Source organism: Homo sapiens, chromosome 12 (assembly GCF_000001405.40).
Source record: "Homo sapiens chromosome 12, GRCh38.p14 Primary Assembly".
NCBI classification, from domain to species: Eukaryota; Metazoa; Chordata; class Mammalia; order Primates; family Hominidae; genus Homo; species Homo sapiens.
The window spans coordinates 42365012-42388273 of record NC_000012.12 but is presented as its reverse complement, the minus strand read 5'-3'; the positions used below and the strand labels follow the sequence as shown (position 1 = coordinate 42388273).

The 23262-nt window shown below is 37.1% G+C and overlaps 1 protein-coding gene across 41 annotated transcripts in view; it reads right to left on the bottom strand.

Annotated features, from left to right (window-relative positions):
* The window catches only part of PPHLN1 (periphilin 1), a 122455-nt gene that overhangs the window by 60348 nt on the left and 38845 nt on the right, over positions 1 to 23262 (bottom strand). For 21 of the 41 annotated variants that reach the window (NM_001364826.2, XM_047428972.1, XM_047428971.1 and 18 more), the window contains 2 exons: positions 13200 to 13411; positions 739 to 818 (listed from right to left, as the gene is read on the bottom strand). In NM_001364826.2, the coding sequence (NP_001351755.1) occupies positions 739 to 818; positions 13200 to 13407 (288 nt within the window). In that variant the 5' untranslated portion in view covers positions 13408 to 13411. Of the gene's footprint in view, positions 1 to 738; positions 819 to 3277; positions 3335 to 13199; positions 13412 to 23262 lie in introns of all 41 variants that reach the window. The other 20 variants (XM_017019434.2, XM_011538459.2, XM_017019436.2 and 17 more) reach the window with 1 other exon arrangement.

Here is a 23262-nt window from a genome sequence, read left to right as displayed (position 1 = left end):
CAGAACTGAACAAATGTACAATCGGGTTTTATACCAAGACATTCAGTTCCCAGGGCAGGCAGGAGACAGTAGCCTTCCACTATCTCAACTGCAAGAGGCTTTCCTCTTTTAATAATCCACCTCAGCACAGACCCTTTACGGGTGTTGGGCTGGGGGATGGTCAGGTCATTCTCATCCCACAAGGCCATATTTCAGACTGTCACATGGGGAGAAACCTTGGACAATACCTGGCTTTCCAGGGCAGAGGTCCCTGCGGCGTTCCGCAGTGCATTGTGCCCCTGGTTTATCGAGACTAGAGAATGGCGATGACTTTTACCACGCATACTGCTTGTAAATATTTTGTTAACAAGGCACATCCTGCACAGCCCTAGATCCCTTAAACCTTGATTCCATACAACACATGTTTTTGTGAGCTCAAGGTTGGGGCAAAGTTACAGATCAACAGCATCTCAGGGCAAAGCAATTGTTCAGGGTACAGGTCAAAATGGAGTTTCTTATGTCTTCCCTTTCTACAAAGACACAGTAATAGTCTGATCTCTCTTTCTTTTCCCTACAATCTCAGTCTCTCAAAGTCCTGGGATTACAGGCATGAGCCACCACACCTAGCCAAAAATTTAAGTTTTTAAATGCAGCAAATTAGCTCCCTTGGCATAACAGTAAAGAATAAAAGCATCTGTACTAGTCAGTCCATCTCAATTTGTAATTCTTCTTTAAACTGATTTTAGAAATATAACAAACCTTTGATGAAGAAACTGCTGAACCACTTGAGGGTGAAGTATCTCTTGATGTTTTCAAAGACTGGACAGGCCTCTCTTTATCTATATAAGAAAACATAAGATGTAATTTTTTTTCTAGCTAATTTGTTTTTGATAAAGTAATTTTGTAATGGAATTAATGTGGGGGTCATACACTTATTTTAGTACTAAAACTTTTCATTACATTATTACATTAAATAGGTTAATATCTAAAACTACCTCTCAGAGGCTAAGCACCATCAACAATCTGAAATAACCTGGAACCAAAGGATATCATAGAAGCCAGTCTAGGCCACAGCACTGCTAGTAAGTAAACATGGAGCCACAGAGACTTCAAGAAAGGCAAAACATATTTTAAAACCATGAATGCTACTTCTTCCATGCTCCTAAATGCTAATTTTTGATATATCACAATAAAAATACAAAGGTAGTTATTATATAGATACCGAGGAGAACTAGTTAATCAAGGGGTAGCTCAAGAGGATCTACATAGGAACTTTAGCAGATATTCCTGAAATGTTTAGACAGTTTTAAACATAAAGTTAGAAAGCTATAATTCAGAGCACTAATCAGTGCCTGGCATTAATGAATGCCCAAATATTTGTTAAATGGTTAAAAATAAACCTGTATGAGATAAAGTCACTAATCTTTACCTTTAGTCACTTTACTCACATAGTGCTGTATGTATATTATTTTTTATAGAAACTTGAGCCAGAAAATACATTTAAACAATAGTACTTTAGCAGGTTCAACAACTCCCTAAAAGATAGGTTTAGTTAAATATACTCTTAAAAATTAATAACAGTGAGCTGTTACAGAAAAACATTTCATTAAATTGTCTATATGTGCCAAATATATAATCCTCTGCCCTTTGTTGCTAGAAAAACTAACAAAATTAATAACATGAGAAGAGAAAGTGGCATAAAATTTGGAGTCACACAGAAGCTGGTCGAGACTGGACAGTGGATTAACAGCAAAGCAGTCAAGAGCAAAAGCAGAGATAAAACGACTTTGAAACTGAGGCAAAGCCAGCTTCAGTCAAAAAGCCTCTTAAGCTCTTCCTGCCACAGCCAAGATAGATAAATAAGGTCCTGGAGGCTCAAAGACTTCCAACCACCTAGGAAAGTGGTGAATAACACCTTTCTAATGTCCTACAGACCCAAAACACTTTCTCTAGCCCAGTGGTTCTTAACTGAGGACAATTTTGCACCTCCCCTCCACAGACATTTGGTAGTATGTGCAGATATTTTTGACTGTCACAAGTGGGAGAGGGCTACTGGCATATATTTAGTAGAAGACAGGGATGCTGGCAAATGTCCTGCTATGGGGGACACCCCAACAACAAAGAATTAACTGGCCTTACATGTCAATTGTGCAGAGGTTGAGGACTCCTGCCCTAGGCTGAGTATTCCAGTTTTTAAGCTCCAACAGCTTTAGAACGATACAGCCCTAGAGTCTTTTAACTTGTGGTACTACAAGAGGCTTTCACCCTAAGCAACTTTAAAAGTTCTTGTAGACCTTAAAACTCAAAAGCACCACTACTGTATCCCAAATGGCCAAGAACATGATATACTTAAGTCATTCCTTATTGTATTTCCATTGCATGTGGCAAATTTCACATCATAGTGTGATAGTGTCAGTGTATCCCATTACACCAAAAGCTCCCAGAAGAACAAGTGCTATAGCTTATTCATTTCCAAATATCTGTGGCCTACTTAGCTCAAGTCCTTCAAGAAAAGGGTAGGCACTCGAAAATCAGATAAAAAGATGAACCTCACTTTTCTATACCTAAGATGCAATGACCTCCCAATCCTATTCAGATAAGCAATCCCTTCAAAGGAGACAAGGCACTGGACCAATCAGCATAGCACATTATGCTTATTAAAGGCATAATTACAGGCTCAATTCTTTAGCACTTATCAGCTAGACACAGAGGGGAAAAAAACCTGTCACAAGCAGCTGTTGATCTTTTGCTTAGTGTTTCCTTTACAAACATATCATCCCGAAGTATAGTCTTGGACCTTTCCTGATTTTAGCTGCCCAAAGGCTAATTTAAGTCGTTATCAACCAATTTCATGTGCAAAAGCAAAGGAACACTGAAGGGTGGTGCAGGAGGTTTATCATATACCCACATATATTCATATGTCCCTGTTGCAACAATGGGAGCAGAAAGCAAGCAGCAAAGGATAAAGAAAACAATGATACAAATGGCAAAAGAAAGAACACAAAAAGAGTAAACAGAAATCACTTGATCCTACTGTTGTCAGGTCCTATCTTCCAATGGCCTGTCTATTCTACAGATCTCAGCCTCCTACAGAATGGCTATTCCCATCCAGGAATGGCTAGCCCAGATACCAGCCCACAAATGCCCCCCAAATCCTAGTACCTAGGTCTACTGCTAACTGTGGTTCTCACAATAGACTAATGGAGCAGTTATACACTTTCCCCATTTCCATAACCGCTATCAGTTCAAGTCTCCCACCCCTTCACAATCCCAAATCAGAGTCTAGCTCAAAACTCACCTCTTTCAGGATTTCCTTCATTCTGCCGTTTGTAGGAGGCACCAGGACGCACGGACTCTATGGAAAGGTGGGCAGGGAGGAATTAACAGCAGCACCTCTGTGCCCAAGAGGAACAAGAGAAGAACTCAGAAGTAGGAGTGATGAGAACAGGGGCTTCTGAGCATTTTCTGGTGGCCCTAAACTCTTTCCTACCCTACTTTCAAGTTGGGCTGCCTGAGCAATCACCAGTGAAGGGGAATAAATAATGGGAGAAAAAAATCTCCATTTAAGGCAAGAAGCCAAGGGGAACTGTCAGGATAAGACCAGTCAAGGATAACAAGGGCAGAAAGGAATGAGAAAAGGTTCATAGAAAGACAAGACATTGAAAGTTGAAGACAAAGATCACATCTTATTCATCACTGAAAGTACCTAGTCGAATTCTCTCCATCCATAAAGCTGACACTGGAAGGCCTGAGAAAGGAGTACACCTGCATACACAGTCAAAAATGAAAGATGGATCACCCCTACCAGTTAAAAAAGGACACTGGTTGAGCCCCTAATTATCCCACACTTAGAATCTTGATATATTTTGTTAGCTTCCTTGTCTGCAAACTCTTAATGACATGGATGGAATCATCTTTCTAAACAGCCTAAATATACTAGTAGTCAGGGCTCCCAGGTATTTTTCCAGTAAGATACAAACTCCATAACAATGACTTCAAATCCTTCTACTACAGATCCCAAGTTGCCAATTTTACTTTTTTTTTTTCTCTGAGAAAATAACATTTTTTCTGAATTGTTTTGGCACTATCAGCATCTTGCCTTAAAATGTTTCAAGAAACATCATGAAAATATTGCCATCTTACTTTTGCAATAATGTTGAGGAAGCAGTATCCTTTTCTCATTATTCACTATCTTTCTCTGGCATCCAGCAAGTTTTGTTTCTCCTGATAAGCTGATTTGTTTTTATGTGAGGTACACTGTCAACACTATTCTTGATTCTTGCTTTTTTTTTTTTTTTTTTTTTTTTTTTTGAGACACAGTCTCACTCTGTTGCCCAGGCTGGAGTGCAGTGGCGTGATCTCAGTTCAGTGCAACCTCCGCCCCCCGGGTTCAAGCAATTCCCCTGGCTCAGCCTCCCAAGTAGCTAAGATTACAGGCACCTGCGACCACACCTGGCTAATTTTTTTTTGTATTTTTTAGTAGAGACGAGGTTTCACCATCTTGGCCAGCCTGGTCTTGAACTCCTAACCTCGTGATCCACCCGCCTCAGTCTCCCAAAGTGCTGGGATTACAGGCGTGAGCCACCACGACCAGCCAAACCCTTAGTTCACCTACAGCAATTGCTCAGAGCCTCATGATGGACAATCATTTCATGCACTACTAACTTTATTCTTGATTCTTTTAGCTTTGTTTTGGCCAAACCCTTAGTTCACCTATAGCAACTGTTCAGAGCCTTATAATGGGCATTTATTTCATGTACTACCAACTTTATTCTTACTTTTACTTTCCTATTCTTATTTTCCTTTTACATAAAATTCCTCCTCCACTTATTTAATCCTATTTTATTAAGTGTTTATTTCATTAAGCTGCCTCAAATTCTTTCTTGAATCAAGAGATAATGGTGATATTTCAGAGAAAGCTACTGGAGCCTTAGGCCAATTCATATTAGCTCCTGAGAGTGAATTGCATGCATCCCTTTGAAACTTTGTGTTCAGTTACTCCATGTTGGTAGCTGAACTATGATGAGAATCTACACTCCACAGATATCAGCAAATGCTACAAATCTTATCTTTTTAACCTTGGAGAGTCAGTTTACCAACACACTGCTGTGGATGTGTTTGATTTTGATTCCAAACTTCAGAGACACTGTAGGTATTACCACATATAATTACAGATTCCCATTAGTATTGTCTTAGGTAGGCTTGGACTATTTAACAATCTTCTAATAGACTAGTAAAACTACCCAGCTAAATTGCAGTCATGAACAAGTAAGTAATTATTGTTTTAATTCTCTAAGTTTTGGGGTTTGTTTGTTTTTTTTGTTTTGTTTTTGTTTTTTGTAACACAACAAGAGATAATAGAAACACCACCACTGTACTTAAAACTCTTCATCCCAAAGTTTCCGCTGATGTGCTCGTGTAAAACTAAAAGGTCTCATTCTTCTTATCCTCTACTATAGCACTTTAATGATTTATAAACAAGTTTTTCTTAATATTTTGCTATTTGTTTTTCGTATCTTTGTACTTCTGTTTGCACCCTTACATCTTCATAGCTACCCCTTCCTCTTTCGTTTTTGTTGGTTATTGTTCCTTAAATGTGAGTGTTGCTACTAACCTTAATCTTTTTTTCTATTTTTATTTGGCTCCAACAAATACAATGAATATAAAAGTCTCTAAAATCTGCCTCTTTCACTCATTGTTCTGCCTTCTAACTAACAGGCTTGCTACTCGTTAGCTATTTAGCCATTACCTCAAATTCATCTCACACATGATCTTTGTAAGCAGACACTACCTCCCTGCTTGAGAGCAAGGTAAAAAGGTTGAAAACATTCCTGCCTTTGTTGTGACTTGCAAAAGAAAATGGGTTCCACATTAGGAAGGAGGAAAGAAACCAGAAAAAAAATTCTGAAAGTGGCAGTACAGAAATCAAAATCCCTGTCTATATATTGATGAGTGAAAGAATAAATGGAAAAAAAGGAAATAAAAAGGAATTTCAAATACTGGTTCCATATAATGTTTTTCCTATTGAGGTAAAATCAAAAGCTGGAGAAGCAGCTTAACATTACACAACACACTCAGGAAGTTCTGCAAGAGTTTCAAAGTATTTGGTGACTCCTTGAATGCAATGGCTGAATGCAATCTAACAGGATCTTTTAGAAATACACTTTCTTGCTGCTGTGTTTTCCTGCGAAAAGAAATGATAAATCTAACCAAATTTATCCAATCCTCCTACATCAAGTGCTATTCATCACTGATAACCCAGGTAGGAAAAAAAGGACACTGCAGGGAAAAAAAACAGCATAATCATAAGAGATGATAAAGTTAGGGGCTATGTCTTGCAAACTATCAGATTCTTAGCGCAGTGCTTGGCAAACAGGGACAAAACAGGTATATTTGAGTGCAAGTCTCATCAAGAAACAAACTTCACCAACACAGACAGTACTTTCATCTCTTCTTCAACAGCTGAAGATATGAAGAGAAATTAAGATATAAATAAATGAAAATGTGGCTACACAGATGATAAGAAAATTTTTTACTGGATCATGGATGAAGATGTGGGAATTTGGGACTTCTGGTTAGGAAGAACATGTTTCTCAGAGATCTACTGATTTACTCAAGAACATATGAATTAGAAAATGGAGAGACACAAGAAAAATGTTCTCATGTTAAAGACACCAAAAAATGAGAGAAAAGAAACAGGTAGAGGGGCAGAGAAAGCATTGCATCACCTCTGCTTCCCTCAAGATCCAACTTTTGGGGAGGTCAGAGTTGCAACAACTTAAAGCAAAGGCCAACTGACTGAATACTTGGAAGCACACTTCTGAGTAGAGTTCTCCTTTAACACATCAGCTAAAAACCACGTGAGCTCATTTTTAAACATATAAGGAAAACATCATCTGCACACATTATGAACATTTGCTACTGACAGAATATACTAAGTCCTAAAACAGGGATATAATAAAATGCCTATGCATATGGCATTAATTGATTTCTGTTTTAGAACCTTGATCATTAAGATGCCAGAAAAGCTATAGCTATAATCCTAGGATTTAGCTAGAAAACTCATAGCCAAAGCTCTCTTGTGAGTAAACAATGGATCCTCAAACAAGAAGAATATGTTATAGAATCTAATTCAACAGTGCATTAATAGTCTAGATCAAGTGATGGCCTAAAATGTTTCAGGGAACTATTAAATTATACTTTAGGGACTCCATATGATGTAACTCATCCCCATAAACCTTCTCCACTAGCATCCTTCACCTTCTACTAACCCTTCAGATGTCACCTAAAATGTTTATTCCTATTTAATTACTTGTTTGTCTTTCTGACTAGATCATAAACTCAGAAGGCAGAGATTGAATCTGTCTCGCTTGGCAAACAATTTATGTTCAATATATGTTTGTTGATTAAGAGATGTAAGTATTGAACACAGCATAGTGGGCTTCAAACCAAGAAATGCTAGGATATTTTGTTGCTAAGAGAATGACTTTATCCTCTCTTCCTGTTGCCTAATATACATGATCTGATGATAAAACCTTATTTCTATATTCCTATTACCTCTTCAAATCTGCATAGAAAAGCCTTCACCTAAAAGCAGAACTAAATTTCAAGATTTTATCAGAATTTCGGCTACATTACTAATAAGTCTAGAATAGTTTTTTTAAAAAAAGAATTTCAGCTATAATCAAAAAATTCATGGAGACTTCAAATTTTATTCATAGCCAACTGCTCTTAAGACGTATGTCTTTTTCTATTAGATTGACATTCAAAAATGGACTCTATCTTCCAAATATACTTGTCTCAAAACAGTACTTTTAATTACTGTACACTTTCAGTTCTCTTAGATGTATTTTTTGAAAGAATTAAACACTAATGACTAACAGTATTTTTTAAAAAATATCTTCTATTCTTAATAATGGCTGTTGACGTAAGAAAAATAAGGGAAGCTAGGCCCAAAGTTAGAGCTACAGAAAAAACAAAGGCCAAACAAACAAAATAAACAATAAACTTGCAAATCTTGCAAAGTAAAAGTATTTTAAAATTCAACCAAAATGTCACAGAACCTAAATATGTAAGCATCTCTGGTAAATTTGGGATTAATCCCTAGCAAATGTTTAGAATGAATTAACAGAGAGGTAGTTTCATCTCTAGGAGCCACCGGGGATTTACAACAACAAAGCAAGATAATCTTTATGTCACTGTTTTGATAGAAGAAATATTTTATAACTTAAGAGTTTCAAGAAACACCTGACAGGGTCTTCCTTGAGATTCTCAAGTGGATATGAAAATAAGATAATAGTAAAGATGAAGGATCATAATTGTTGAATAGCAACAAACAATGCTGATAAAAGGTTCAGGTTAACAGATCTCTAGAGGTTTCTACAGTTGGCCTTATGCTCCTCAACATAAATTATTAACAACTGATACAAAACACATCCAGCATACTTAATTTGCAGATAATACAAGCTGTTCTTATCAGGTGCTAATATACAGAATCACTAAATGAGATTTTGAGAATTCTATAAAACAGAATAAGCCAAAGTTAATTAGATAAAATGTAGTATTTCTAGTTTTTTTTTCAATGCATTAACTACACACATACAATTGCACCTGAAAAAGTACAGCCTAAGAGGCATTTTGTTTAATGGTATTATATGTGAAAATAGCTTAGGCTTCAGTTGCCTACAATCCAGTAATGAAATGTGGTTGCTAAAATAAAAATTCACTTCTGGTGTTACAAATTACAGGAAACAGAAGGAAAAATAGGAAAGCAAAAGGTCTGGAAACCATGACAAATAAAAGGAACAGCAAAATAAACCAAATATATTTAAACCTGGAAAAAAAAAACATGAAGAATATGATAGTACTCCTCCAATATGTAACAGGTTACAACATAAAAGGAAGAAATATCTTTATATATGGCTCTAAGAAGAATAACTAGTATTAAGTAGATGTTACTGAAGAAGATTTTAATTCTTTTATAAAGAATGAGCTACATAAAAGGACTGGATTGTGATTTAGTAAATTTATCAAAAGAAATACTAACAGTTTAACAAAAAATGGGTGTGGGAGACTGAACTTAGTGATTTTTTTCATCACTTTTAATGTTATAGCTTAAATAAAAGGCAAATGACAAAGGGTAAGATAGGAAAACATGGGATTATTTCAAAGAGGGAAAAAAAGAAAATAAGTATTAGAATTGACAAATGTGGAGATATTTAGATTAATTATAATAAAAATAAACTTCAAGTGAAAAATATACAAGGTAAATATAAAAAAAACAATTTTACCTAGGAAAGTATCATAATACACAGGGAGAAAGGACATGAGGTTAACTGGGACAATCTGCACTGCTAGCATGTGAACATGGACAACAAAAAGGAACTAAAAATAATATTGCATATCCAGGTCAGCCCAACTAAGTTATAGTAAGAATATTCTTGCAAGTAAAGTACAGGATGAAAACAAGTTGGATGTAGAAGGATAATTAGTTTGAAGTAGTTCAAAGTTCCATAAGATTAACTCAAAAGGCTTAGAAGAGATTTAATTAAATGTGTGTGTATGTATGTGAGCACAAAATGGGAAATAAGCAGTTGAATTTAAAAATGTAGTAAAATCACTATAGACAAACCAATAATGATCATTAAAATAGGAAAAATTAATCTAAAAGTATGAACAAAAAGGAAAAAATTAATTTTTTTTAATGAGGGCATAATTATTTTAACCTGTTATTTATACTTATAATAATATTTTACGTCTTTTTCAAAATTTCAATTTATACTAGAAAACTTAATTTTAACACGTGGCTAATTATCCCAGCTTAAGTGACTGATAAGTGCAGAACCCCGTGTCTCAGTCCTCTTTTGAAAAAAAGCCAGGTGCTGCAATATTTGTGACATTTAAAGCAAAAACTGGTATCTGAAATAGGTAAAATAATTACTTTTCCCATTTATTGTTTAAAATATGACCTCCATTCACTTTTTTGCAAGATTATCTTATGTAACTATTCTGAAAACAGGAAGGGAAAATAGAAAAAATTTTCATAGTTCAGCCCAAGTAGTTAAGGAATACTTGAAAATGGAGTTTTCCCAGAACAAACTTTTTCTTGATCAAAGAACTTTACTTTCAAAGCTAAATAACTTGAAAGAAAGAAAGAAAGAAAGAAAGAAAGAAAGAAAGAAAGAAAGAAAGAAAGAAAGAAAGAGAAAGATAGATAGATAGCTAGATGCAGGCATTAATAAAGTCATATGCTCTGTTTCATTCAATTTACCCCATATTTTAGTCTACCAACTTTATTTTTAAATTACCCCAAATATTAAAGGTATGAGCTCTCAAAGGATGAGTGAAGGATATTGGAGATCCTAAGACAGGAGCATCACGTTACGGCTCAACCACATTTCATCTCAAGATCTTAGAGTTTTGGCCATTAAGAGGCCCAAAGCAGGTCAACAGAGAGAAGATGCTCGCCCCCAAAATTTCTGTTTTTGAGGATAAAAAATAAGACTAATTCACTAATAACTATCTTTAATAACTTCATTACAAGCTTTCAAGTAAGAACCTCAAGCTTCTTTTACTCATGCTTTGTTAAAAAGTTTTCATAATCAGTTTCCAAAGATACTTTCTTCTTCTTTAATGAAAATCATTATTGGATATGGATTTAAGTCATACACATCCCAAAAACAGGTCGTAAGGGCAGAGCACAGTGGCTCATGCCTGTAATCCCAGCACTTTGGGAGCCTGAGGCAGGTGGATCACTTGAAGTCAGGAGCTCGAGACCAGCTTGGCCAACATGGTGCAACCCTGTCTCTACTAAAATATAAAATTACCTGGGCGTGGTGGTGCACACTTGTAATCCCAACTACTCAGGAGACTGAGGCAGGAAAATTGCTTGACCTGGGAGGTGGAGGTTGCAGTGAGTTGAGATCACACCACTGCACTCCAGCCTGGGTGACAGAGCAAGACTCCGTCTCAGACAAAAAAAAAAAAAAAAAAAGAAAGAAAAAATTTTAAGGGTCTTAGATGGTATCTGGCTAATTTTGGATATGTCTGTGCATGTGAGCATTCATTAGTGCTTAGAGTAGGGGTGTCCAATCTTTTGGCTTCCCTGGGGTGTGCTGGAAGAAGAATCATCTTGGGCCACACATAAAAGACACAAACAGTAACAATAGCTGGTAAGCTTAAAAAAAAAAATCGCAAAAAAGCCTCATGTTTTAAGAAAGTTTACAAACTTGTGTCAGGTTGCATCCAAACCCATCCTGGGCTGCACGCGGCCTGCAGGACGGGGGTTGGACAAGCTTGGCTTACAGATTGTTTATCTTCTTAAGGTTTTTTTTATGTGGTAGGGATGGGGTATATAGAAGCAAAAGAAAAAATACTTGTATACTTGTTAACATTAATCTCCACAATAAAACTTTCAGTTACCCAGAACTGTCCCAAGCACATTTTGGACAATCAGATATATATATGGAAGTGGCTTATTTATTTACTTATTTATTTATTTATTTTTAGAGACATAGTCTCGTTCTGTTGCCCAGGTTAGAGTGCAGTGGCGTGATCACAGTTTACTGCAGGTTCAACCTCCTGGGCTCAAGCAATCCTACCTCAGCCTTCTGAGTAGCTGAAAATACAAGCATACATCACCATACCCAGCTAATTTTTAAATTCTTTTTTGAGAGACAGGGGTCTCACTATGTTTGCCCAGGCTGGTCTCAAACTCCTGGGCTCGAGTAATCTTTCCACCTTGGCTTCCCAAAGTGCAAGGATTACAGGCATGAGCTGCTGTGCCCAGCCTGTGTTTGTTTTAAATCCTTAAAATAACCTTCTTATCTCCTGCATCATCATTAATATACCTGTATCCAAAAATATGTTTTTTGGGAAGCCCCACTCTATCTATCTCTGCAAAGAGTAGACAATAAATGTTTGCTAAACTCAAGAATCTTGCAACAGCTTCAAGGGAAGACAATCTGATGACTCCAAATGGTTTTCCATCACTTTCATCATGTAAGAGGCAAAGGCTGTTAAATTAAAACTCTTATTATTTGAAAAAAAGACAGTTAATGAGAAGGACGTTGAAAAGGAAATATCCTGGACTTTTCTGATTTCTGCACCTTGGCTCATAATTCCTTCTAACTAGAAGACAATTCTTTACTTGTAGAAATCTGAAATAAGGCTGAGCCCAATGTCATCTCCTTTATGACATGTTCTTACATCCTCAGAGTGTGAATTAATTTTTCTCACCTTGACATGCTCATGTCAACTCATTTATGACATATCAATTATTGTATCAAAGTTATATATAAACATATTGATAAAGTTGGTATTAGCTGGTGAGAAATATAAACATATATTCTAGTTCCCTAGTGACAGGGACATCATTGTATAATATTAACACAGTGCCTTGCACATAGAAGGCACAAGGAACTGTTATGTGAACGAGCTCTACTGCAGGCTGCAGAGTCTAGAAAGATAAGAATGCTTTCTCTAGAAAAGTAGTTGTGTCATTAATTTATTCAAACACATACTAAGCAACTCAGCCAGCATGACATGCTAAGATTGTACAGAATGTCATGTAGGTTCAGGCATGACAAATTAAACATAAAAATAAAATAAAATAAAAATAAAAATAAAATAAAATTGGGGGTTGGAAAAGAGTAAGAGAGGTTTTCACTCTAAATTTTACAAGGCTGGCCAGGAGCAGTGGCTCACACCTGTAATCCCACCACTTTGGGAGGCAGAGGTGGGCGGATCACGAGATCAGGAGTTTGAGACCAGCCTGACCAACATGGTGAAACCCCGTCTCTACTAAAAACACAAAAATTAGCCGGGCATGGTGGTGCACACCTGTATTCCCAGCTACTCAGGATGCTGGGGCAGGAGAATCACTTGAATCCGGGAGGCGGAGACTGCAGTGAAACAAGATCGTGCCACTACACTCCAGCCTGGGAGACAGAGCGAGACTCTGAAAAAAAAAAAAAAAAAACCTTTTACATGCTGAAGAAATTAAAGGTAAGTGTCATGCAGAATGCCACTTCAAATAGTTTGAAAAAAATGTGTGTGTATGGTGTTTGTTATACTATTCTACCATCTTTTCTGTAAGTTTGAAATTTTTCAAAATAAAAAGTTTAAAAAATAAATCTCTTACACCTAGAAGGAAATCTGACTCAGTACATTCTCATCAGAGGAGACTGTGAGAGAAAAAAATAAAGTCTTAAAATACATACTTCTATGTTGAGACTGATGGAAAGAGTATGATTTGCTCCTTTCTGGAGAGTAGCTTCTGCTACTGACACTGGAACCAGATCTGCTGTGTGGAGAATCCTTTCGGCCAACAGGTGATTCTCTGAAAAAAGTATTGTCCCTTTTATAAGGAGACCGCTCTCTCGCATAATGGGAAGAGTAGAAACTTTTTCTTCTAAAGCCATCTCTCATGTCCCTTTGAAAAAAAAAAAAACATAAAATAAGTTAATTATACTCTATCCTCTATATACAAGCACAATGGCAAAAGCTCTGCTTATAAGCTACCCTTTAAATTGTACTCTTGGGGCCGGGTGCGGTGACTCACGCCTGTAATCCCAGCACTTTGGGAGGCCGAGACGGGCAGATCACGAGGTCAGGAGATGGAGACCATCCTGGCTAACACGGCGAAACCCCATCTCTACTAAAAATACAAAAAAAAAAAAAAAAAAAATTAGCTGGGCGTGGTGGCAGGTGCCTGTAGTCCCCAGCTTCTTGGGAGGCTGAGGCAGGAGAACAGCGTGAACCTGGGAGGCGGAGCTTGCAGTGAGCCCAGATCGCGCCACTGTACTCCAGCCTGGGCAACAGAGCGAGACTGTCTCAAAAATAAAGAAAAAAAAATTTGTACTCTTGGTTCTCTTTTTCTATCACTACCTAACTGTTGAAGTCAGCTAACAAAATGAAACAGTATCAGTGAAATATGATTTAGAATGTACCCTTTTTCAGTTTGGAACAGAACCAGGTGGCTAATGCAAAAGTTATTTTATTTTAGGCAAGCACAAATTCTAAAATGTAAAAAACATACTGTCATATAGTTTCCATTTCTCTTTGCCATTAACAATACACCACACAGCTACCACATTCTCAAAAACACTTAGAAATGCCAAAGATTTCCCAAGTAAGACATTTCATGGCCAATTATCCCCTTCTAAGTATAGAAACTACTGGTTTTCAAGGTATATGCAATTTGCCCACCCACCCCCAGGACAATGTGGCATTGTCTAGAGGTATTTTTGATTATCATAACTGGGGAGGAGAGTACCATTGATGGGTAGGGACCAGGAATGCTGCTAATTTCCTACAGTGCCCAGGACATGCCCCCCAACACTACACACCAAAAAACTCTTCAGTCCAAAATGTAAATAATGCCAACACTGAGAAACCCTGCTATATACCTATTAAATTCTTGCTGAGTGTGCATCCTCAGTACATAGATTGTTGCCCATCTCTAAATAACTACTTTTTATAAATCACCTCTACTTTTATAAATTAAATTTCTTTATTGAGAAATACCATCAACTCAAAGCACCAAGTAAGCCCTAGTAGTAAAACCTTATAAAGCAAAACCATTTTAAAATGTCAAACCAAATCAAAATTACTAAATGAAACCATCATCAACTAAGCCTCTAATAAAAGAACACTTAAGAGTCAAACAGGTTTTAATCCATGATTTAACAAATGTACTGCAACATTAAAGAATACTAAATTTCAGACAGAAGAGTGCTAAGAGACATACCAATAGCATACAATTTCAAGTGCTTGGAAAATCATTTCAGCATCTTGATTGGCAGTCCATAGGATATAAACAGGCTGTTGTCCTAAAGTTCATTTGAACACTAGCTGATTAATACCCCAAATATATTGTCCCTTCAGACACAAGTAAGTTTCCCTGGGAAAAAGCAGAAAATAGCTTAAATTCATTTATGGTAAATGAACTGGTATAGAACACTAATAATGAAATAGAGCATTAAGGAATTCTAGCACTAGTTTAGTCACTAAAACTACAAGGGTCATACCAACAGCACTGGTTAGCCAGAGTGGTGATATGGGTATTAAATAAACAGGTTTTAGAAATTGTGTGAGGTGCTGGGACCCAATGGTGAGCCAAATGTACACAGTCCCTGCCATCACAGAACTCTCGGTTTAATAGGAGAGGCTGACATTAGACAAATATACATAAAACATGTGAATGCAGTCAAGAATGGATGTAGAGAGACTAACGAGGAACCTAACTTAGTCCAGGCAAGAGACAGTGGTATCTTAGATGGGACAGGAGCAGGTGAGGGGTCACAAATTTTACATATACAAGAATATACCCTCTAGACTTAATGGGATGTAGTTAACGTTTTACTAATAAAGTGTGAAAGACGGGATGCCAAGCTGATTCCCATAATTCTGGCATGATAGATTAATGAAATGAGAAAAATAAATTTAAGAAATGAGGATGCAGGTGAGAGGTCCACATTTTGATGGGAGCATGTTATATTTAAGATGTTTGTGTAATATCTAGGTAAGCAACTAAAGATACTAGTCTCAAACTCAGAGGACATTTTTGGCTATCAATATAAATTTGTCTGTAAATAGGCAGTACTTAAAGCCTGGTATAGAGGAAAGCAAAGGAAAAAAAGAACAGCAGGCCTAGAACGTGGGGCTAAAAAAACTCTACCATGAAGAGAGAAATGGGCTGTCGAAGAATGGGAGAACAGAGAAACATTAGAAAGGAGAATGCATTTATCATGGAAGCCAAGGAAAGAGTATTCCAACAAGGAAAATAAAGGTTTCCTACATTGAAATTATATGAGCTCTTATTGGTAACTTGCTTACAGGATAGAGAGGAAAGATTGCCTACCTTCCTCTATTGAAGAGACAAAATGCTGAACTACAGTTTCCTAATCTGACACCAGATGGCAGTAAAATCACAGCAGTACAGAGCTATCAGTGGCCTAAGGTGGCAGGATACACTTGGGGGATGTCAAGTGTCAAATGTCAATAGCTCAGAGTAGAATAATGTCTCTTCTCCCCTTCACATCAATCCTTCTTCTGCTCCCCACCAATTTAAGCAAAAACATCACAACAGGCCTCAATTTTCATAAGTATCCTTTTTGATAAAGTGGTAATATTAGCCATTTTTTCAGATATGTGTGTGTGTATTATATAATGTATATAGTGTCCACCATATGAACAGCACTATAGGGAATTACTCTTGCTTTGAAGAAGCTAAGTATATTGGGAAGGGGGAGTAGGGTGAGAGGGGGTGAGGACCAAATGTTTAAGAAGGCTGGTACAAAGCTACAAAGGTAACTTTGTAAATAGATGGAAAACTGATCCAGGTCTTAAGGAAAGATGAGATTTAGATTAATATTATCTAACAGAAATATAGCCAAGCCACAGAAGAAGTAGTCATATCTAAAGTAAAGAGAAACAGGTCAAATTAATTTTAGCATTTTATTTTACTTAACCCAATATATCCAAAGTATTACCAACATGTAATTGGCATTAAAAAAATTTGGTAAGCTATTTTACATTCTCTTTTTCAACCTAAATATTAAAAATCCAGTGTGCATTTTATGCTTACAGAATATTTCAGTCTAACCTGACGATATTTCAAGTGCTCAAAAGGTACATGCGGTTAGTAGCTCCCATATTGGACAGCATAGATTTAGATGGTGGGAAAAGCATCACAAACTTTAGAAAAAGCAGTAACAGATTAAAGTACTATGTGAACAAGAACTGAAGTAGTTAGAACAGTAAGACCTTAAAAAAGCAGTGAGTAAAAAGCAAAGGTAGAAAACTTTTAAAAAGAGAAATGATAGTATCAAACACTGCAAGTCTCGAGGAGACTATGCATTTAAGACCTAGGAGTTGGCCGGGTGCAGTGGCTCATGCTTACAATCCCAGAATTTTGGGAGGCAGAGGTGGGAAGACTGCTTGAGCCCAGGAGTGTAAGACCAGCATGGGCAACATAGAGAAGCCTGTCTCTACAAAAAATTAAAAAATAGCTGAGCGAGGTGGCACCCACTGGTACTCCCAGCTATTCAGGGGGCTGAGGCGGGAGGATCACTTGAGCCCCACAGGAGAGGCTGCCGTGAGCCATGATCGTGCCACTGCACTCCAGTGTATGTGACAGAGCAAGACTCTGTCTCAAAAAAAAAAAAAAAAAAAAAAAAAAACACCAGGCTGGGCGAGGTGGCTCACGCCTGTAATCCCAGCACTTTGGGAGGCCGAGGCAGGGCGGATCACTTGAGGGCAGGAGTTCCAGACAGGCCTGGCCAACATGGTGAAACCCCATCTCTATTAAAAATACAAAAATTAGCTGGGTGTGGTGGTGTGTGTCTGTAGTCCCAGCTATTCGGGAGGCTAAGTCAGGAGAATTGCTTGAATCCAGGAGGCAGAGATTGCACTCCAGCCTAGGCAACAGAGTGAGACCCTGTCTCAAAACAAAACAAAAAACACCTAGAAGTCATTTGATCTGTCAGTCCAAGAGTCCAGTAAAATTCTGGAAACCAAAGCAGATTGCAAGAAATTAAGATATAGCTAGTGAAGAAGTTAAAAGCTGTAACTTTTCTTCCAAAACAGGCTGAAGGAGGGAAGATGGGAAGGAATGGTATTTTGAGGAAAGGGGCTTATTTGACCACTACTGAAGGCTGATAGAAAAAAGCCAATTCACTATAAAAGGGGAAACTGATAACGCAAGACACAAAAATGTTAATGGTAAAGAAGGAGCCAAAAGTCAACTGGAGAAAGTGAGACAAAGGGACTAAGTAGAAGAGAAGAATATGAAAAGAATAAATAGAAAAACTCTTATTTCAAGAAAATAAAATACAACAGAGTTCTCATCAAAAGGCCTTTGTCTCAGTAATTACAGAAGTCATCAAAAAAGTAAAGAAAGAATGTGAATGGAGGCTTTATGCAAATTAGAAAGTTTTACTGATCCTCTGGGGCAAAGTATTAATTAGAGCAATCCTTCTCAAAATGTACGTCCATAGACCTACCTGCCTCAGCATTTGCAGGAAAGGTGATAGAAATGCAAATTCATGGGCATCAACCCTCACCAGCTGAATCAGAATCTCTAAGGGTGTGACTCAGGATTCTGCATAAGGCTTTCCAGGTGATTCCTATGCACACGAAATGTTAAAAAGGACTGAATTAAAGAAGCTCACTAGCATGTAAGGGCTGTATGTAAGTGAACCGTTCAGAAGTCAGAAAGCAGAAATTCAGAGTTCATGATAACGGCAAAACAATTCCCAGTGATGAAAGTAAGGCCTGGCCATGCCTGTGGATATATAAAGTTGAAAAATACAAGAAACAACTAGAGTTAAACATGGCATTAAATCACGATACAGAGGCAGATTGGATAGAGAAGATTGTGAGTCAGAAATTGTAATCATCAAGGAAGAAGGAATGGTCTCCTGGAAATTCATCAGAGAATACAATAAGACAGGGTGGTGTAAATGAGGACGTTCAAAGTTGACGTGGAAACAGAGGCTTGGAGAAAGTAATGAGGAGGAAGAAATATGCCCGAACTCATCTCAAGAATCAAGGAATTAGGAGGCAAGTAAGTTGGGGGGAAAGTTTCAAATCTCATTGCATTCCTTAACAACTGGATGACCTTGACCAAGTTATTTAATCTCCCTACGCTTTAGTTCCCTCAACTATAAAGTGGGGATAATAATAATACCTACTTCACAGAGTTGATGTGAGGAATAAACAAAATAATATATGTTAAAAATTTAGAACAGAACCTGGCATATAGCACTCAAAAGATGTTAGCTATGTCTATTTACCCTATACCCTGGTATTACTTCCATTAAACCAGTAAAAGGTTTGCAGCAAGAAAGAGCCAGGCATGCCAATACAAGTGCCTGATAGTTGTATGTCATTCAGGAAAGCAAAACTATGGAATCTTGCATGTCTCTAAGAGTTTAAAACCAAGCCATAATAAAGCTTCTAGAAAAAGACTTCAGCTTGACTTCCCAGGGAACTTACTTTACAGAGGATGAAATGCCGAGAACTTCAGTAAAAGAATCTTTATGCAGATAAAACATATGAAGTAAAGTAGGCAAAAATGCAGCTCACTAAACTAGGGGTCAGAAAATGTTTGCTCTTTCAAAAGCCAAATAATATTTTAGGCACTGTGGCTATATGGTCTCCATCACATCTTCTCAACATTCCTCTGACACACAACAGCAGCCACGGATAACATATAAAAAATAGGCGTGGCTGTGTTCCAATATAATTTTATTTACAAAAACAGACAGCTGACCAGATTTGGCCTATGGGTTGTAATTTGTCAACCTCCAATCTAAATAATTACGCACGTCCTGAAAGTTTTCAAGCACAATTTATTAAAGAAGAAAGAGGCTACCTACAGCTTCATATTTCCCACAGAATATCAAGAAAGGTACGGACTTTTTCACCCCATCTTTTACCAATATCTTAAAATTTTTGTGCTTTAAAAGTTTAATTGTATTTTGGAAAGAAAAATTAAATAATGATAGAAATGTTTTGGCTGGTTCATATTTTGTTCTCTACCAGAGATCTGACAAAAAGCCTTTCTTAAAATATGTTGCATAGAACACTAATCCACAAAATATTAGTATTTCCCATTCTACTACAAAACATAAAAGGGGGTTCTGTGAGTAAATAACTTTGAGAAACACATTTACTTAGAGTTCCACATCTCAGATTACTCCTTAATGGCAGATACAGATTCAACAATTAATTCATCTACTTATATATGGCCTTTTGACCTTATTATAATTAACCTCTCTGAGCTTCATTTTCCTAACCTCTCCAGACATAGCAATTCTGACATGAATGGTATCTATATTACAATTTCAGGTTTTAGTCTTTTCATCATCAGTTATCTCATTTTTAACCTTACATGAATACATGGACTCTCAAGCTTTAAAATATTTTATATAACTGAGACAATTTGGGGAGGACAGCAATCAATTCTTATTATAACGCATATCATGATAAATTCAGGTGAATTGAAAAGCTAAATGTTTGGATGGAAAAGACAGAATAAAAAGATCCCCCACCCACCCAAAACAACTGTAAGAAAAAAAAATTTGTAAGTATGCAGGAAGAGCCATTTTGTATCAAAATACCAAGTATAAACTATATACAGAAAGGCCTCTAAGGTGAAAATTAGAATTAGATTTAAAGTACATTTCCAATTAAAAGAGAAAATTTCAACATCAATGCCAGTCTTAAATATTAATATTTAATAATTTATTTTTGGCTGGGCACAGTAGCTCACACATGTAATCCTACCACTTCGGGAGGCCGAGGCGGGATGGATCACTTGAGTTCAAGGAGTTCGACACCAGCCTGGCCAACATGGTGAAACACTGTGTCTATTAAAAATACAAAAATTAGCCGGGCATGGTGGTGCACACCTGTAGTCCCAGCTGCTCGGGAGGCTGAGGCAGGAGAATGGCTTGAATCCAGGAGGCGGAGGTTACAGTGAGCCAAGATCACGCCACTGTACTCCAGCCTGGAGGAACAGAGCGAGACTCTGTTTCAAAAACTTAATAATAATAATGATTTACTTTTAATCTTTTAATGAATGCTAGCAAAACCACTAAGAATAAGATGAACACACTAATAAAAAACAGACAAACGATACGAAGATAATTCAATGGAAGATAGACGAAAAATATCACCTCACTAAATATTAATATTTAAGATAACAAAGTTAAAATAAGTTTTCTCTATTAAATAGGCAAATGATCTCCTCTAATCAGTTACTGTGCCAAAGAATTACATCTAGGAAAGGGTTTTGTTTAGATATAAGGTAAGACATAAGGTTGCTTAGTTTGACCTTTCCATGGTGTCTTAATTAAAAAAAAAAAGAAACTAAGACTTTGATTTTTCATTTTTACCTGATTTATCATAAATTGTGTTTTTATACTAGGGGATAAAAATTTAACAGAAATAGGACTCAACTGTTTTGTAAAACTAACATCATGTGCACTAGTACCTAAGAGTATTCACAGAGTACTCACCATTATTCATAGTAGCTGTATATGTACCTCTGTTAGTGTTGGAAGGAAAATTAAACAGTAATAAACATCAAGATACCCTTTCTCATTTACGGATTAGTGGAATTCTTTTATAATCTCTCCTTTTTTCCCTGAGATAGAAACTCTCATGGTTGACATTTGAAAACTAGTGCAAACTATGTTCAACAGTTAATTGTGATGAGAAGAATGAGAAAGAATTAAAAGCATTCTGCAACATTTTGTGAAACTGAGCCTAAAAAAGCCAGGTATTTACAGACATGAATGTATGGCTGTGTACAGAGAGAGAAAAAAAACTTGTTCATGAAGATAAGAAAGGCGTTCTGACAGTCATATTTGCAGTCCTATCTAATATTTTATCTCTGTGTGGACCCTAGAAGTTTAACCTTGATTTATGGGCCAGAGTAGTATTTCCCTTTTTAGGACCATTAAATCCCTAGTGATTTCTAGCCAAACCCAAGTGTTGCATATTATTCATGATAAAGCTTAAGGAGACACTTAATCTTTAAAAATATTCACTCAGCCTCCAGGAAAGTTCTAAAACCTGTGTTTAAAATGCCAACTCACTGGGGCACGGTGGCTCAGGCCTGTGATTCCAGCACTTTGGGAGGCTGAGGCAGGCAAATTGCTTGAGCCTAGGAGTTAGAGACCAGCCTGGGCAACACAGGGACAGGGAAACCCTGTCTCAAAAAAACAAAAACAAAAACAAAAACAAAAAAAAACAAGAAAGGCCAGGTGCAGGCTCACACCTGTAATCCCAGCACTTTGGGAGCCGAGGAGGGCAGATCACCTGAGTTCAGGAGTTCCAGACCAGCCTGGCCAACATGGTGAAACCCCGTCTCTACTAAAAATACAAAAATTAGCCAGGCATGGTGGCGTACGCCTGTAATCCCAACTACTCAGGAGGCTGAGGCAAGAGAATCACTTGAACCTGGGAGGTGAAAGCTGCCGTGAGCCGAGATCGCACCACTGCACTCCAGCCTGGGCGACAGAGTGAGACTCTGTCTCAAAAAAAAAAAAAAAAAAAAAGTGTCCGGTACTAGTGGTTAGCTGTAAAAACCACTCAGTATCAACTAGTATAATTTTCTTTGTGCAAGTATCATCTCGATTTTAAGGATTTTTTTGTTGTTTTATCCATAACCCTGAAGCATGCTAAATAGAGAAACAGTATATTAAAGTCTGGACATATTTTTAATACTGTTCCATAAATCACCAGGTAAAAACTGCAAGTAAGACAAAGGTCCATTTACCATGGAGAGAAAACTTACAACAAAAGCTTTCAAAACTATAGGTTTCTAGCTATGTTGGAAATGAAGGTATCAACATATATGATACAATGCATTCAATACAATGAACTATACGATGAATCAAAAAGGGCCTTTGAAGAAATATAAATAACAATACAACCAGGATTATGAGGCCTCCAAAAAACACATCTGACGAAACTGATGCTTTTTATTATCAAAGAGTACACAGCCTGAGAGTTAGGACAGTGTCTTTGGCTATATCGCAAACACTCCAGCTATACTGGCTGGCATATAAAAGACGCAAAGTCATCAGGAGAATGGAGGAAGGGAAGAACTAACACCCCATAAGGCACTGTCTCTCAAAATGTGGTCCTTGAACCATCTGTGATTGCAGATTACTTTAGATGCTTATTTGAAAAGCAGATTTTTGAAGCTCAGATTCTCCTGTTAATACAAATCCCCAAGGTAATTCCCGCCCCTCACATCAGTCAAACCAGGTAAGCGGTGATAGAACCCTCAGTGTCAGCAGACATATGTTCACCGGTTATGAGTAAAATTCGACAAAGTGGGAGAAAGGGATACAAGGGAAGGGAAGAATGGGGAGATGGAAAGCATTTACTTCTTATTCTGAACCTCATTTTTCTCTCCTTCCCACATCCAAATATACACAAATATTCATATAAAATATTGGCTACTTCCTTTCTAGTCAATAGGGACTTCCAAAAAGAATTACGATTTCAAGAATTATTTTGAGAAAGCAGCCAGGTAATTAGCAAGGCAAGCTTAAGAATAAGTGAAGTACAACCTCAAATATCTTTTATTTTAAATGTGGAAACGGAAAACCACAGACACTGCGACTTAAGCTGAGGAATTTTCCATATCACCTCTTCTTCTATCCTATCAAAAAATCAAACACCTGTCTGCCTGCTTGAGTTCAGATTAGAAGTTTGGTGGTCAAGTTCAAGGCTGTTTCCACAAAATCACATGTTTACAGT